This window comes from Homo sapiens, chromosome 8 (assembly GCF_000001405.40).
Source record: "Homo sapiens chromosome 8, GRCh38.p14 Primary Assembly".
NCBI classification, from domain to species: Eukaryota; Metazoa; Chordata; class Mammalia; order Primates; family Hominidae; genus Homo; species Homo sapiens.
Window position 1 is genome coordinate 141841316 of NC_000008.11, and position 18009 is coordinate 141859324.

The 18009-nt window shown below is 49.4% G+C and overlaps 1 annotated feature.

The window, feature by feature from the left end:
- Positions 11359-11859: an enhancer, noted in NCBI's record as "H3K27ac hESC enhancer chr8:142934035-142934535 (GRCh37/hg19 assembly coordinates)". NCBI's record gives its function as "activates a minimal SCP1, AML or CMV promoter by ChIP-STARR-seq in naive H9 embryonic stem cells {active_cell/tissue: H9 hESC(naive)}" and the evidence as "EXISTENCE:reporter gene assay evidence [ECO:0000049][PMID:30033119]".

Here is an 18009-nt window from a genome sequence, read left to right on the forward strand (position 1 = left end):
GTAAACCTCCTTTGTTTATAAATTATCCAGTCTCAGGTAGTATCTTTATAGCAGTGTGAAAATTGACTAATACAAGCAGTTTGGTTCTTAATCATTGATCTTTTATTTGCCCTTTGAGGACCTAAATGGCCATCACATTCTGAGTTCTTACTAGTGAGTGGTACCTGCCCTATGTGAACCAATCCATGCTGGTCAGGCATGGGTGTGAGGGTCTCAGATTTTGTGCCTGCACCAGCCACTGTTCTGTTGAGATCAATTGGATTAAACCACGGTGCCTGTGCAGGCTGGCTCTTACAAAGTGTGTGAAGAAGTTTACTCTGTCACTTGTGATCATTAGAAAGCTGCCTGAGCCCACTGAACTACAGAGAGCTAGACACTGGAAATAAGAGGGTTCCAGCATAGATGTGGGACCCCAACTTTCAGTGATCCCATCACCATCCCGGGCTTGAAACCCCTCTGTGGCTTCTTTAGCTTGTGAACTTCACTGTGGCAGGGCATCCAAGGCACATCTTGGGGGCACCCTTCCCTGTTCTCCACACTCTCCATTCAGAGAATCTCTTATCCTAGAAATATTTAGCTCTTTCATGCCTACAGAGCCTGCTTAAATTCTACTCCTGTAAGGCCTATTTCAGAAGTTTTCTGCTCTATAAATTCCTAATCCCTGCTCCTCAGTTAAGATGATCATATTCCTCTTTAATATCCTCAACGTTTTTTTGAATATCAGTCCTCATTTAGATTTTGATTTACAAACATTTACTAAGCCCCTACTACGTGGCCCTAAGCATGCTATGGGTGTTCATGTTTGATGGATCATCGAATCTGCACAAAAACTCCAAGAAGAAGGTTTTACTCTAGGCATTTAGCCAATAAAGATAAAAGACTCAGAAGGCCAAGTGACTTGTCTCATTTAAATAGCTTTGATACTTATCATTTTCTCCCTGATTTATGGTTCCTTGAATGCACGTCTGTAAGGAGACAATCCTTAGTCTGTGTGACCTTGGGCAACTTCCTTAAGTTCCTTGAACTTCAAGTTCTCCTTCTGCAAAATACAGTCCATTTTACACACACTGTTGTGTGTAAAATGAAGGAAAGTGCCAGTCAGCATAGTGGGAAGTACCCCAACACACAGCAGGTGCACATGAGTGTTCACTCCCTTCCTTCCCAGCCCTTCCCCCTTACACTCTAAGCTCCTCGGGCATAGGAAGAATAACATGCTGTCTCCATTATTTCTTTTCCTGGCAAACTGTAGAACTGGCCTGAAACATAATAAGAGCACAGACAAATCTGGTGACATGAGTTGCCCAGACAACTCTTTTTCAGAGAATTAGAAGGCAGCGCCAAGGTCACTCAGGGTTCCCGGAGGCCCATGCCTCCTCCTCAGGACACAGAGGTTTAAGAGCCATAGCTGCCGCGGAGAATGACCTTTACTGGGGCCAGACCTTTCTTTAAGTGCCCCAGAAATATTGTCTTACATAAGCGATCTTAGGAACATGAGCAGTTGATTATGGCATTGCCATTTTAGGAAGGAATCAATGGCAGGTCAGAGTCTAAATGACTTTCTCAAGGTCAGAGCCATTGGGCATCAAAGCCAAGTCTGCATAACCTTGCTCTTCCATGCCTGAGATCTTCCCCTGGAGGAGCCAGCTGTCTGCCATCCCTGTGGGCAGGAAGATGTTTTCTGGAGCACATGGCATTCCATCCAGCTCCGTCTCACACCCAGACGGGCTGCTGTGAGTGGGGGCTCACACTTACTGAATTCCCCCCAGGTGCCATTTTAAGTTTTGCAATAACCACATGAGGTAGGTGTGATTCATACAGAACCCACTTTTCAGACAAGAAGACAGGTTCATAGTGATTAGGAACTTACTTAAAGTCACACAGCCAGTATAGACTCAGGTCCGGGTGACCCCCCAGCCTGGGAGGCGCAGTACAGGGCAGTGGTTGAGCTTCCAGACTCTGGAGCTGGGGTTCCGACCCTGGCCCCACTATTTCTACCTGTGTGACCTTGGGCAGGTTATGACACTTTCCCATGCTTTGTCTCTCCATCAGTAAAATGCAGCTGCCAGGATTCCTGCTCATAAGGTTCCTATGAAACTTAGACCCACAATGTATGTAGTTCTCAGTGACGAGCACACAGGAGCCCCTCTGTAGGGGGTTGGCGTCTGTGGTTCTTCCAGCTGGACTTGGGCTGAATGAGCAGCAGGAGCAGGGCCTGCTGTATGGGCCATGAGAGTGAGCGAGCAGAGTAAAGTCATTTATCTCTGAGCTCAGCTGCCTCCGCTCCAGTGACCCCTGGGCCCTTTCCACCTGGGTGGAAAATGGGGTCCCCCTGAAAGCATGGTCCCCTGTTAATGACTTGAACTCAAGCAAGGCAGCAGGGTGGGGTTCTGAAGAGCACAGCAATTGGATGCCCCTTTCTCTTGCTCCATCTTTGCCAGGGCTGCTGCAAGCTGACTGCCCATTGGAAAGCAGGGCTCACCAGTCACAGAGGAGACCTCTGAGTCCTTGTGATGGCAGGAGGCCTCTGCCTGACTGGCACCTGCATCACTGCACAGCACATTTAGCCCTCGATGTGCAAGCCATGCTTCTGAGGTTAGGGTCTCAGGGTGGCACTGCTGGCCTTCTGGGCAGAGCAGTCCTTCTGTGTGAGGGAGTGTCTAGCACACCACGGGAACACAGCATGTCCCATGTCTATTGCTGTGTGACAAATGACCACACATTCAGCAGCTTAAAGCAACACATGCCTATTATAACAGTTTCTGGGGCTCAGGAAGGAGTCCATGTGCAGCCTAGTGGGGGCCTCTGCTCAGGGTCTCACAAGGTTGCGGCCAAGCTACTGGCTGGGCTATGTTCTCATTCAGAGGCTGGACTGGGGAAGGATGCACTTCCGGGCTTGTTCAGGATGTGGGCAGGATTTATTCCTGCACAGTTTCTCCTAAAGCTCAGCTGTAATTTTAGAAGATGCAGATAGCTCCTTGCCATGTGAGCTTTCCCACAAGGCTGCCCACTTCCTCAGGCCCGGGAGGGGTGGGCAAGTTGAGTGTCATAGAGGGTAACATGAGTGCAGATGTGCTATCATCACCTTTGCTACATGGTATGGGAGAAGCAAATCTCCATTTCTGCCTCACACTCCTGGAGAGGGCAGTGTCCCCAGGGGGAGCACCATGGCGCAGGGATCACAGGGTCTTCTTGAAACCTGCTCCCTCAAATGCTGGCAGTGTCCTTAGCTACTGGAACACCTGGGAGATGCCCTCAGTTGAGAGCCACTTGCCCACAAGCCTGTCTAAGGCTTGTCCTTCCTCTATTCCATCATCACCAGAGTCCATCTACGAGCCTCCTCAACTGGAAAGGTCTCCCTTCCAGGAATGACTGTGGCTGGTACTGTGGGCCTTTCCTTTGACCCTGCCATGGAAGCAAGGTCAAGTATTTTGGCCCCAGCAGTGAGCGGTGAGGTGAGGTCTCGTGAGGAAGGACTGAGCCCACATGCATAGAATCCTGTGTGACTAGTCCAGTGCTGGGGTGTGGAGAGGCTGCTATTATTGGGGGGTAGTTGTGTCTTTGTCTGGCTGAACCATGGCCTCCTTCAGGGAAGAGGTCTTCTCATCTTGGGGAAATCACTTAACTGACTGTGATAATAATTGCTAACATTTATCCAGCACTCCTTATGTGCCAGGTACTGTAAGATGTGCTTTGCATACATAATTGCATTTTAATCCTCACAACAATGACTAAGAGATTTTAATAAATTTCCAGGAGACAGCAAGCAGGGGAGTATGAGCTGACCTATAAAGCAGGAAGAAGCTGTAGTCAGGTTCCTGGCAGCAGCCACGACCAGGATCCCACCCACGGGATCCTGGGGAGGCTCAGGGCACAGAGGAAGCCAGCGGGACAGCCGGGGGTGAGGAGCCCGGTGGAAACAGAACTCTTTGCTGATTTTCACCCAGCACAACCTCACCAGGCAGCCCTGGCCTCCCCCAGCCATGTGATCAGGTTGCAGGCGGAGGTGCCAGCCTGTGGGTACATTCCTGGTGGCTTGTCACTGAAGCCATGGGATCAGCTCCTCAGGGAAGGCCAAAGCTGGGTCAAACCTCAGAGTGAAACCCTCTCATTTTGAACTGGGAGGCCACGCTCTCCCTCCCTCTACAGAGAATCCTGCAGCAGCCCCATTTCTCCCCCACCCCACCCCTGAGGAAGCCCAAAGGCAGAGTTATTCCCCGGGGAGGGCTGAGCGACCAGCCACAGAAGAAGCACCCCACACCTGCATCTTTAGATTTATTCTATCAATAGACAGCCAGCGACCACCAGGCACATGGGGAAAGCTGGCAGTGTAGAAGAGAGAAACGAAGATAAGCACACTGAAGAAAACTAAGACCAGAGGAAACAGAGCAAATTAGGTGAAAAACACTCTAAAAATACTCCAATTAACACACTCAGAGATATTTAGGAGGCTATTATATCCATAAAATAAAAACCAGCAGGCTTTGAAACGGGAACACAGGCAACCAAAATAAGCACTTAGATTCTAAAAGATGACTGCACCCCCGATAAAACACCAGGAGGAGGAGAAATAGAGTTTACTAAATCTCCAAAACACAGAACAAAAAGACAAACGGATTGAACTTAGAAGCAAAGAGATAAGGAACATGAGAGGCAGACTCCAGGAGGCCAACATCAGCAACACAACAGAGGGAGGGGGTGGGGAAATGATCCAATAAATTATGCAAGAGCACTTCTGAGCACTAAAGCAAAACACAGACCTCAAAACTGAAAGGACCTCCTCCAAGTTCCAAGCAGGATGAATAAAAGAAGAATTCGCAGGAAGTCTAATTATCATAAAATTGCATAACACCTAAGATTAAAAACATCACCACCACCAAAAATCCCAAAACCTTTCAGAGAAGGGAAAAAGGTCATCTACAAAGACATAAAAAATCAACTGACATCTCCCCTCCTATCAGCAATGGCTGGAAAAAAACATGTACCCATGCTTTTGACATTCAGATGGAATTCTATTCACGGCCAAACTAGTAATCACGTGTGAGGGTGGAATGAAGCCATTTTCACACTTTCAAAGTCAGTCTTTCATTTGGCTACTCTTAAAAAGTGACTTGAGTCTGGGTGTGGTGGCTCACACCTGTAATCCCAGCACTTTGGGAGGCTGAGGCAGGTGGATCACCTGAGATCAGGAGTTCGAGACCAGCCTGGCCAACATGGCAAAACCCCGTCTCTACTAAAAATACAAAAATTAGCTGGGCTTGGTGGCGTGTGCCTGTAATCCCAGCTACTTGGGAGGCCGAGGCAGGAGAATCACTTAAACCCAGGAGGTGGAGGTTGAAGTGAGCTTAGATTGCACCATAGCACTGCAGTGAGCTGAGATCACACCATTGTACTCCAGCACGGGTGACAAGGCTTAAAAAAAAAAAAAGGTGACTTGAGGATATCCTCCAGGAAAATGAGGAAGTAAAATTAAAAAAAAGAAGGAGATGGAATCATCCAGAAGAAGAGGACAGGCAACTGACCAGGAGGGAGTGAAGAGAGAGGCCAGTTCCTACTGGTACCAGAGGCTGGAGGCCCCAGGAGAAGGCAACCTGGTGCTGTGCATTGTTGTGATTGAGAGTTTGAAGGGAGAACTCAGGCTCTGATAGAGGCAAGAAGTACAAGACAAAACAGAAGCGATTATGGGTCTATGAAAACCACACAGAACGAGCGTAAGTGAAGGTCGTCACCCCAAAACAGGCAGACCTCTGTGCAGTGGAGTGAGAGGCAACAGGTCCTCGGTGACGAGTGTCTCTTCGAGAGGCTCAGGAGGAGGGGACATGCACTCACAGGAGGAGTCTTGCTGTGCATCCTAGTGGAGAGTTGGCCCTCTTCCTCCTGGTAGTGTTTATTTGGTCATAATGACAGATAGCTGGTTCTTTGGTTCTCAGTGCTTAAATTCAATCAGTCAACAGAGCATACGAGGCTTTGTTTGGGTGACAGAACAGAATGCAAATGTTAAGAACCTTGATAATGTGAAAGTGAGATGATGAAGCTCTGAATGTGAGATGAGAAACAGGAAGGAAAGTGAAGAGAAGACGGGTGGATCTTTAACAAGTGAGGAGCCAGGAGAAGCTGCTGAAAGTGGAGGGGTAAGAAAGAAGGGGTTGTAAGGGACTTACAGTTCCACATCCAGCAAGGAAGAGTACCGAGCACACTCAGAGGAGTATCCAATATCAGGAGGGAGAAGAGGAGAAAGAGGAAATAGTGCATTGAATTAATCCTCTTGCTTTTATTTAATTAATTATTTAATACATTAATTATTTATTCATTTCAATAAAGGCAGTGATATTATTTAAAGTTAACCAGTAAGAAATTGATATTTTTATTTTCTAATTAATGATGTAAGTAACGAAAGAAATAAAAGCATAAACCTTTAAGAGAGAGTTCCTCTAGAAGTAGGATTGGGGGTCAGAAAGTTTTGGGAGGGGACCAGATGGATGCTTTAAAGTATTTTAATTATATGTTGCAATCATTCCTTGGTCTTTGGAAGGATTGATCCCAGGACCCTCCACAGATACCCAAATCCACAGATTCTCAAGTTCCTTAAACAGCATGGTGCAGTATTTGTATATAACCTACACACATCTTTCTGTATACTTTAAATTATCTCTAGATTACATATAATACCTAATAAAATGTAAATCCTGTATAGTTGTTGCACCGTAAGTTTTTTATTTGTATATTTTAGTATATAATAATAAAATTTTTATTATGCAAATAATAAAATATGCACTATTTGTATATTTTATTATTTTTAAAATAATCATTTACAATATTATTTTTAAAATATTTGAAAACAGAAGAATAATACCTTGCCTTCAAATATTTGTAATCTGCTGTTGGTTGAATCCATGATGTGGAACCCACGGAAACAGAGGGTGGACTATATTTGATTAACTCAGAAAGACCTATTGAAGTGAGTTCATAATAACAAAAGGAGAGCCTGTGAACTTATTACTCAGCTTCACAACTAGCACATTCTGTGTTAGTCAGCACTGTTCAATTGCTAAAACAACCACCCCCAATCTCAGAGGCTGAGAATGAGAAAAGTTTATTCTATGCTCACTTTACTGTCCAGGGCAAATGGGGGTGGAGAACAGAGTTCTTCAGGACCCAGGCTCTTTCTCTGTTGTGGCCCTGCTGTTTTCTAGTGCCTTGGAGTCCTCCCTGGAGCTCCTGCAGCAGGTGATGGAGTAGAGAAAGAACATAGAGGATGATGGGGTAATTATGTAGGGGCCACGCCTGGAAGTGGGACACAGCACTGCATTTGCCTTTAATGAGCCACACTCAGGCATGTGGCCACCAAGCTGCAAGGGAGGCTGGGAAATGTGGCCCAGGCTTGTGTGCAGCAATATGGGGTCACAGGCAGGCAAACATCTGCTCGTTCTATGCCTCCACGGCAACTCCATGCCCCATCCTCTGGCCCCTCCAGAGGTGATCTGTCTCCTGAACTATGAGTTTATCATAGATGCAATCTCTCTCCTGAACTATGAGTTTATCACAGATGCAATCTCTCCCTTGAACTGTGAGTTTATCATTCCCTTTCTTTATTTTCTATGGTCATATAAAATACACGGAATACATGGAATACTCTTCAGCACATCGTGTGTTTGAGCTTCGTAGAAATGCCAACATGCAATATCAGATTATAAGGGTTCTGCAGAGATTTGCTTTCTTATTCAACATTACGAGATTCATCCATGATGTTCTGTGTCACGGAGGCTCATGCATTTCACTAAGAACAGTATTCCACCCATGAACATTTCAGAGTTGATTCACATTTTCTCCTGTTGATGAACGTTAGCTTTCCATTGCTAAAGCATCTTTGCACCTTGGACATAACAAATGTAACATACCTGCCATTGGATATGATGTTGTTGTGTGTAAATATGACACTTAGATCTCCTGCAGCCACCTTGCGACCATGAGGGAACAAACCCAAGGACAAAAGCCAACGATCAGGAGATGGCTGTTTGGAAAGATGAGAAAACTTGTGTCCTCAGTCACATGTCTGAAGCATCGACTTAACTCACTCTGGGATGAGTCCATCTCCTAACGTATGAGATGAAACCCATGCTTTAGCCATTGTGAGATGGGTCTTTTGTTAGCTGCAATGGACACACATGTTCTGAAGCCATTATTTTTTATACATGATGTAAGCTGTGTTTGCCACTGTGGAAAGTCACAAGTATGTAAGGAAAAGGAACACAGAACAGAATGTGGTGGGAAGCACCATCGGGCACGGTGGTCAGTGCAGGTTAACTGCTGGACCAAACACAAAAACAAACACAAGGAAAATCCAAGTGTCTGTGTGCTTTACATTTATTTCTTATTGACATGAACAGTTCGTTGGTTCAGTGAGTGACGTCCCACATGGCAGGCCCAGGCTCCCTCCCTCTTGTAGATCCTCCCTGCCCCAGGTCCTCCCAGCCCTCTTTATTCACAGAGAGTGGGTAATGAAGAGTGATGCCTCCCACAGTGGGTGTGATGGGCCAGGACTGGAAGAGGCACACACCAGCCTTTACCCCTCATACTCCACTGGCAAAGAGAGTTGCATGGCCATTGTTAGAGAAAACAGTGATTCAGTGGTGCTTGTCAGGGTACCCTGAGGAAGACTTTATTCAGGCCCATTGTGATAGGCACAGGGATCACGGCAATGGGATTCTGCAGTGGAAGAGAGATGGCTCAACTCCCAACACAGCCTGGCAAGTGGGGATTACAGCCGAGGAGCAGGTGGGATCGGGGGATGGAAAATGACCAGGAGGAAGCATTGGGGTGAGGGGGTTCTGGCTAAGCCCTCGCTAACAGGATGCTTGCTGAAGGCAGGCCAGGGGACCAGGCCTTCCCTGGGGGGTGGTGGGGGATGAGGACCCTGATCAGATATTTAGGAAGGATCAGACACCAAGGGTGAGGGGTTCTTGATAAACTGACTTAGCAGGGTTCTTGTTAAAACTGGGCTTTACAAGGAAGGGCACAGATGGGCCAAGAGAAGTTTCAGGAGCCTCCGCTCAGGGTGCAACCACAGCCCTGCTGGGCGAGTTATTCTCACCCCCACTTCACAGGTATGGGAACTAAGGCCCCAAAGACAGGGCAAGTTCCCTCAAGTTACAGGACAAATCCCTGCAGTCTTGAAAGCTCCCTCTCCTGCCCTGCCCTGGAGCCTGCAGTGTAGACTAGGGAGGGACAATTGAATCAATGATTTGGGGTTGCTTAAAAAGAAAGCCAAAACCTGCCCCTTTCCAGGTTGATATTTACATATAGCTGAAGAATTCTCAGGTGCTATCGTAGAGTGATGGGGGTAATTCTCCAGTTTAGAAATGCCCATTGTGCCATGTGCTGGGCTGAATCGTGTTCCCCAAAATTCCCAGGTTTAAGTCCTCGCCCCAGTGACTATGTTTGGTAATGGGGCTTTTCAGAATGTGATTAGAGGTACAATGTAGTCACTATATGACTGGTGTCCTTATAGAAGAGGAGGAGATTTGAACACAGACATGCACAGGGGACAATCACGTGAAGACCCAGGGAGAAGATGGGGTCTACCCACCAAGGAGAGAGGCCTTGGGAGGAATCAGTCTTGCTGATGCCCTAAGGGCCAACTTCCAGCCTCCAGAGTGGAGAGGAAATGAATCCTGGTGTCTAAGCCTTCAGCCTGTGGTGCTTGATGATGGCAGCCCCAGCAGGTGAATGCATGTAGCTCGGGGAATGAACAGATCCCAGAAATCTCCAGGGCTGGGGAAATGGACCAGGCTGGGAAGCTGGAGAAGGGAGTGGGCAGGACAGTGCACTTTAGTGAACGTGTGCTCTGATTTGTGTGTTGCCTTTGGGATTTTATCTTGAAAATGAAATGCAAAACACAGGTAGGAGGGTTAATGAATTGAAAATGTCTGCTGGCTTTTCCCGAGGGCAAGAAAACAACTGAGCTAAAATTAGAAGAGAAAGTGTATGACTGGGGAGACATTGTGAAGATAGATATTAAACTCAGAATTTCCAAAGGCTGGCCAGGTTGGAAATGGACCCAGCCTCACTGCCAGCATCTGTTGAGTGGGCCAGCTTGGCCCTGCCATTATTCCACCACTGAGAGTGTTGGTCTCATCCCAGGCTCATGTCCACCTTGGACTTGCTAAATGTAAGACCCACCAAGACGCACAAAGGACCTGTGGAGGTGACTGCATTAAAATTCAAATCTCAAATGATAACTTAGGCACAATTAAAGGCAAACAAGACACTGGGGAAATATTTCGCAACATATGTTTAGACAAAAGGTTGATGAGCTAACGACATTAAAATAGTATCATAAATAAACAATAAAAGGTCTGCCGAGCATAGGCCGTCCTAAGGTATGAGCAAGAGAGTGCCAAAAAAGCTGCGCAAATGGTCAGGGCGCAAGTGAAAAGCGATTTAACTTCGTTAATAAAGGAATAGCTGCAAATCCGAGCAAGAAGGTAAATGTCTCCACCCAGCAGCCACTTCCCTAGGCAAAAACACTTTGTTGCCCAGTGTTGAGCGTGTGGACCACCTGACCGGCCTGCCAATGGCAGGGATGGGCGTTACATCAGCATCCCTGCAGGGGGCGGGACAATGGGTGACAACCCTGCAGGGGACGGGATGATGGGTGACAACCCTGCCAAAAATTGTTCTCATGCTTCATCCCACGGTGCCTTTGAGGAGCTTATCCTGGAGACGTAGTCACGGCTGTGTAGGATAATGTGTGTTCAACAACGTGCATTACACGGCTGTGTCTCCTTCCTTCATTTACTCAGGAAATACAGAGACAGCCCCAGCTGTGTGCTGAGAACAGAGGTAAAGTGATGGGCAAACGCCACACAGCTCTGTCCCGCAGGGCCTGGGCCCAGTGGAGCTGATGGGCACTAAACCGGTCATCCCCCAGGTGAGTACAGAGTCGTGGCAAGGACATCTGTGGGGGTGGTGGGAGCAAGGGAAGGGCCCCTGGAGTGAGCTGTGCCAATCAGCAGAGTGGGCTGCTCGTGTCTGGGAGGCTGCCTGGTGCCCCGGGAGGCCTGTCTTCGAAGGGAGGCCACAGGTGTGACCAGGGAGACCTTGAAAGTGCACCTCATGCACAGGACAGCAGCGTCCATGGTGCGAGCCCTGGGAGGCCCCGAGGGAGGTGAGATTGCATCCCCTCTGGGTGGAGATGGGCTGCAGAGGGGCCCCGTGGAAGCAGGAGACAGGAGGCTGTGCTGTTAGGAGGCAGGAGGCGAGGACAGCCTGGACCCAGGGAGTGGGTGGAGACCCACACAATGAACAAGACAGCCTGCGGCAGAGCTTGGAAATGCGGTGAGCAGTGTATCTGTTAACAGGAAAATGCCCATGGTCCTTGCCAATGCAGGCCGACAAGATGAACAACTGTGCGTGTGTGCACAGAAGGGTCCTGCTTTTGATCCGTGTGAGAGGAGAAGGAAGCCAGGAAGCGGGCGGGAGGGAGAGGAACGCACACCCCACACGTGAGGGTGTTTATCTTCCTGCTGCATGAAGATGGCTGATTGCTTCCTTTCCATTGTTTGTTTCTGGAGTATTCTGCATTGAACAAATATTGACTTTGTAATTTTAAAAAATGTTTTATGAAAAAGATAAAAGCAACTCACACAGGCCCCTTCTTCCTACTTTGCCAGGGCTTGCCGTCTGGGCCTCCCTGAGTTGGGGCAGGTTTCACTCCACCTGTCCACCAGGGGTGTGGACCCCGGAGGACAGAACTGAAGGAGCCGCTGACCTGACCATATGCCCAGCAGCTGGGAGCGCTCCTGTGCCCAGGCTGTGCGGCACACGGGGACCCTAGAGGTAGAGAGACACAGGCCCACCCCAGCACCCTGGAGGAGGTGAGAACCGTGTGTGCTGCCTCACATCCTGTGAGTGACCCAGGGACAAACATGCCAGGGAGTGCATCCTGTGCCCAGGGCCAGGCAGTGCCTGCATGCATGGGCACACACAAACACAGACACACGCACGCACACACACACACACGCAAACACACACATACACACAAATACACACACAAACACAAACATACACACTCAAACACACACACATACACACCTACACACACATACACACCTACACACACATACACACAAACACACACAAGCACACACATACACACATACATATATACACACATACACACACATACACAGACACACACACAGACACATACACACATGTACACACACACAGACACACACACATACACATGTCACACTGGCACCCAGGGAGAGGAGAGAGGCAGTGCCTTTGCACACACACACACACAGACATACACACACACGCTCACACTGGCACCCAGGCACCCAGGGAGAGGAGTGAGGCAGTGCATGCACACACATACACAAACACACACACATACACATAAACACACACACATACACACAAACACACACATACACACACAAACATACACACAAAACACACATACACACAGATACACATACAGACACACACATGCAAACACACATACACACATACATGCACATACACACACACATACACATGGTCACACTGGCACCCAGGCACCCAGGGAGAGGAGAGAGGCAGTGCCTTGTCACACATACACATACACGCTCACACTGGCACCCAGGCACCCAGGGAGAGGAGCAAGGCAGTGCATGCACACACACACACACATGCTCACACTGGCACCCAGGCACCCGGGGGGAGGAGAGAGGCAGTGCCTGTACACACACACAAACACACACACACACACACTGGCACCCAGAGAGAGAAGAGAGGCAGTGCCTGCACAAACACACACACTCACACATGCTCACACAGGCATCCAGGCACCCAGGGGGCGGAGAGAGGCAGTGCCTGCACACACACACACACACACACACACTCACACTGGCACCCAGGCACCCAGGACCAGGCATGCATGCACAGGCATACACACACATACTCACGCCTGATCACTCAGGCTCCCAGGTCAAGTACATGTGAGCACACACATGCTCATGCGGAGCCTAACACAAACACACACAGAGCCTTACACACACAGGCACACACTCACACAGTCTTGTACAATGTAGCTCCCCACACATATGCACACACAGAGCTGTACACACAGACACTGTCACAAGTTACAATGTGCACATATAGATTTGCACACCCAGATGTACATACACACTCTCCCACAGCCCCCCCCCCCCACACACACACACACACTGGGGTGTACAGAGGCAGAGGTGGGCACCCCGTGGCTTTGGAACAGGGAGGCCTAGAGGAAGTTGGAGTTGCTAGCTGGGCCGCCTTGCCGGGCTGCTCAGGTGTGAGTGGCCAGAAGCCTCTGCCTCTACGGGCGTTCCCACGTGTCCAGGGGGCTCCCAACACCTGCTCCTCTGGGGGCTGTAGCAGTCAGGTGTCACACCAGTGCCCGTGGCATGGAGCAGCCAGAGCTGGAGGGCACTTGGCACCTCTTGCAGGACCTGGGGGTGTGGGGGTGCTCCCCAGATGAGCAGACGTTAGACCTGAACAGTGAGGGGCTGGGGGAGGTGTCCTGGGGAAAGAACGGTGGGGAGGAAGGTGTTGTCTGGAGAAGGCTTGTCCTGCACAGGGAAGGAGGGAAGGAGCAGGGAGTGGAGGCACCTGAGCATGGCCAAGGCCAAGGGACCTCAGCTCCTGCCACAAAAGGTGGAGTGGGGCTGGCGGTGGAGTCCGGAAAGTGGCATCTCTGCAGTAGGATACCACCTTGGGCTGGCAGAGCCTGCACCCTGAGTCTCCTGGGGAAGGTAGAAAAGTCTCTGCTCCTTCCTTACCAGCTGAGTGAGCTTGGGCAAGTCCCTTAACCTCTCTATGTCTCACTTCCTCATCAGTAAAAATGGGGATAAAAATTGTCCCCAAGTCAGAGGGTGGTTGAGGGTTAAGTTAATGAACATTCGTCATATGCTCAGAACAGCACTGGGGTTTGTAAGCCTCACCTTGAGGATGGTGACGGGGGAATGGGAGAGGGGAGGAGGGCCGAGCACCTAGGGGCATCTGCAGTGGCCCTGGATGAGGGGAAGCCACCAGAGCCCAGGAGTGCAGCAGAGAGGCCAAGTGTGAGGCTTTCGATAACGCGGGCTGGGAATGGAGCTCCAGGGGTGCAGGGGCAGGAAAAGCAGGCTGGCCTGGAGCAGGCTGCATGCGGTACCGGAGGGTGAGGGTGACAGGGGCAGGAGGGCAGGAGAGCAGAGTGGGACAGAGGACAGGATCCTGGGGACACGGTACTGTGTGTCAAGCTGAGTGGGTGGCCAGCGGTAGAGGAAGGTTTGTGCAAAACAGACGGAGAGATGCTCACGTCCAAGAAAGCCAGGGCACGGCACCCGGGGGATCTGGGTGCTCACAGCCTGGAGCCAGTGCAGGGGTCGGGCCTGCAAGGAGACTGCTGGGATGGCAACCCCAGGCCACCACTGCCCTTGCCGAGGGGCCTCCAAGTGGAGAGGAGCCAACAGCAGGAGGAGGGCGGGGCCGAGCTGCCCTGCCTTCCTGGTTCCCAGTTCTCTTAGCTGCCTGCAGTGACCTGGCGGCTCTGCCTTCCACCCGGGCTGAGGCTGCCATTCGAGAGAGGGGAGGGCAGCAAGTGTGGCCTGCGGTGCAACCCTGCCTCTGTGAAAGGACACCTGGGGGCTGTGGCAGGGCCAAGGCGTGAGCCCCAAGCTGGGCCACTGGCTGGGTCCCCATGGGAGGGTGGGCTGGGGAGCTGGGGGCGCTAGCTTTCTCCTGATGCATCACGGGTAGTGCTGTTTATTGTACTGAGCAGTATTTCTGTTTTAAAGTAAACACTCAGATTTTTAAAAAACCATGGCTAGCATCTGAGCCTGGAGCCCAGATGTTTTCTCTGGGAAGAGGAGCAAATGTTATTGGCTGCAAGGCTCAAGAAGATTTCTGGAAACTTGGCATTACATAGATATTTTAAATTGCCACGCTAGACAGGTAAGCGAGGTAGGGGGACAGAAAGAGTGTCTGGGAGGACGCAGGGCTCCATGGGGGACAGAAGCCATCACCCCATGAGAGCAAAGCCCACTCTGCTGTGAGCATTTTCCTTTTTGGGAGGCGTGGAGAAGGAGGCCTCTGGTGGGAACTGAGTTTGGGTTTTCCTAGTAGGCGCCATGGGAGGCCAGGAGGCAGGGAGGCAATGACCAAGGTCGGGTTATAGGGGAGAGTGTGGTCCACCACAGGCAGGGAAAGCAAACCCAGAGGCTGCTGGACCTGGAGGCAGTGGGAGGCCAAGACCTGGTGCCTTGGGAGGGGCAGAGCCTGTGGGCTGGAAGGGCAGGAGGACAGGCAGAGGGCAACATTCTGCCTTGTGAGGTTTCAGAGCTGGTGAGGGCGACTGGAATTGCGGAGGCAGGGAGCAAAGACCATCCTGGTTAAACACTGCAGTTACACTGGATGACCGCTGGTGGGGGCAGTGTGGGAGGGGCAGACTGAGGACAAGAGGTGGGGGTTTGAAGATCCCACCAATTTCTTTACCCTGGGGAGTTGCAGGGGTAGCAGGGGAAAGTTTGGGGAACAGGCGCAGTGGGGAGGGAGACAGAGCACAGCGTGACAATGAGGGCCCTGGGGAGAAAGGGGCTGGGCTCTCAGGGCTCCTGCATGGGACAGTGATGGGAGGCTTGCAGCTCTGGGGCTGAGAGCTTCTGTGTGGGCCTGGCCTTTGGCCCCAGAGGCATCAAGGATGAGGATTTTCACAGGCAAGCCACTGGTCTTGCAGGGGACCTGGGTCATGCTGACAGAAATCCTGGGCTTGAGATGTCACCCCCAGGAGCAAGGGCAAGAAAAACTGAAGATGCTTTATAGGAGGGTGATGCTAGCTAGCAGCCTCCTGTTAAAGGAAGATTGCTGGATGATGGGTGAGAAGATGGGCCAGCATAGTGAGAATGGCATTGTGATGGGGGTAGGGGCTGCCAAGGGCTGTGATCAGAAGGACAGGCAGGGTTGGCTCCAAGGGGTGAGCCCCTGGCTGACAGGTTGACTGCAAACCCTAAGGGGCCATGTGCAGGAGTTCAGGGGAGGATAAATCCATGAAGGAGGCAAATTTGCTTAATGATAGGTACAGACGATATTTAACAGCAAACGAGACAATAAAACATGTAATTAGCAGATGTACAGCACTGGCTGCTGGGGATTCCAATGAAAGGCACTAAAACACCACCAAGATTAGGAGTCAGCTTGCAAGGGAGCTAGTTCGAGGACTGACAGCATTCTGCAAGTGGGAAGCCCAGGCTATGGAGTTAGACAGAAGGGTATGAATCCTGGCTCCAGCCTGTGTCCTTGGCCATGCAACTCAGTGGGTTTGCTTTCTTTATCTATAAAATGACTATATTAGTGGTGCCTGCCTCAAAGGGTAGTTGTGAGGATTAAATGAGTTGGACAATAGTAAGCACCCGGCACACCACCTAACCCAGTGCTCGGTCAGTGCTGTTGTCAGTATTAGCACCACCATCGTCATCCCCATCCTTGTCATCATCACCAGTACTATCATCATCATCATCGTCATCATCATAGCTATTACCATCAACATCAATGCCGTTACTGTCATCATCATTGTTACCATCACCATCATCGCCATTCCCGTCATCATCATCACCATCACTGTCACCATGAACACCATTACTATCATCATCATCATCAACCTCATCACCAACACCATCATCACCATTACATTATAATCATCACCATCATTATGAATGCCATTACTATCATCATCATTTCCATTACCATCACCATCAAAACCATTTCTATCATCATCATTATGACTGTCACCACAAATGCTGTTACTATAATCATCATTACCATTACCATCATCAGCATTACCATTAATTACTATGATCATCACTCTTATCATCATCGCCATCACCACCAAGACCATTACTATCATCGTCATCATTATCATAACTATCATGATCACCATTACTATCATCATTATTCTTGCTTGTCATTATCACCATCATCACTACCATCAACATTACTACTGTCATACTCATCATCACCATCACCGTCATCATGAACACTGTTACTGTCATCATCATCATCAGCACTATCACCATCTCTAATACCATTACTGTCATAATTATCATCACCATCACCATGAACACAATTACTACCATCATCATCACCATTACCATCAACACCATTACTATCATCATCAACAACACTATTATTATCATCATCATCCTTGTCATTGTTGCTATTACTATTGTCATCATCATCCCCATCACTATCACTATCAATAGCATTGCTATCATCATCCTCACTATCACCATCAACACTACCATCATCATTATCACCATTGATACAACTTCTAGATCATCATAACCATCATGATTACCACCATCACCATCACTACTTCTTACTATTATTGTTGCTGTTGTTTTTTTTTAAGACTGGGAGTTAGAAGATCCTTAGGTAGGTGTTCTCGAATGAACTGCACACAGGGACAAGTTGCATTTTAGACCGCTCTATGATGAGGAAAAAGAGAACTAGAGGAGCTACATGACTTGTTCAGGGTGATGGAGCTTTAGTGTGGCATTAGTTGTGAAAGTCAAAGGTGGCTCACCATGCCACGCCCCACCTATTGTGTGAACTCTCTTATTTGTAGCTCTATATCCCCATAAGTAAAATCAGGAGATAAGCAGACAAGCCCTCCAAAGTCATTTATTCATTCACTCCTTACACACATTTGTGTACTTACTGCACGCAGTCTTTGTGTCCCATGCTGGGGATATGTTGGGGGGATCTCACACTTTCAGTGCTCACAGTGAAGCAAGAAAGACAGTCATCAGCACCAGGCATTCCCACCCTGTGTGAGGACACACATGGAGAGGGAGGTGTGATGTGGTGAGAGGAGGCAGAGGGGCAGTGACCCTCATCCTTAGGGCAGCGCATCATGAGGGCTGTGTGGGGAGAGGTCCTGAGTTGTGACACCCCAGGATTCTGGGTAAGATGGAGGGCAGAATGGGGAGCCCTGTGGGGATGCCCTGG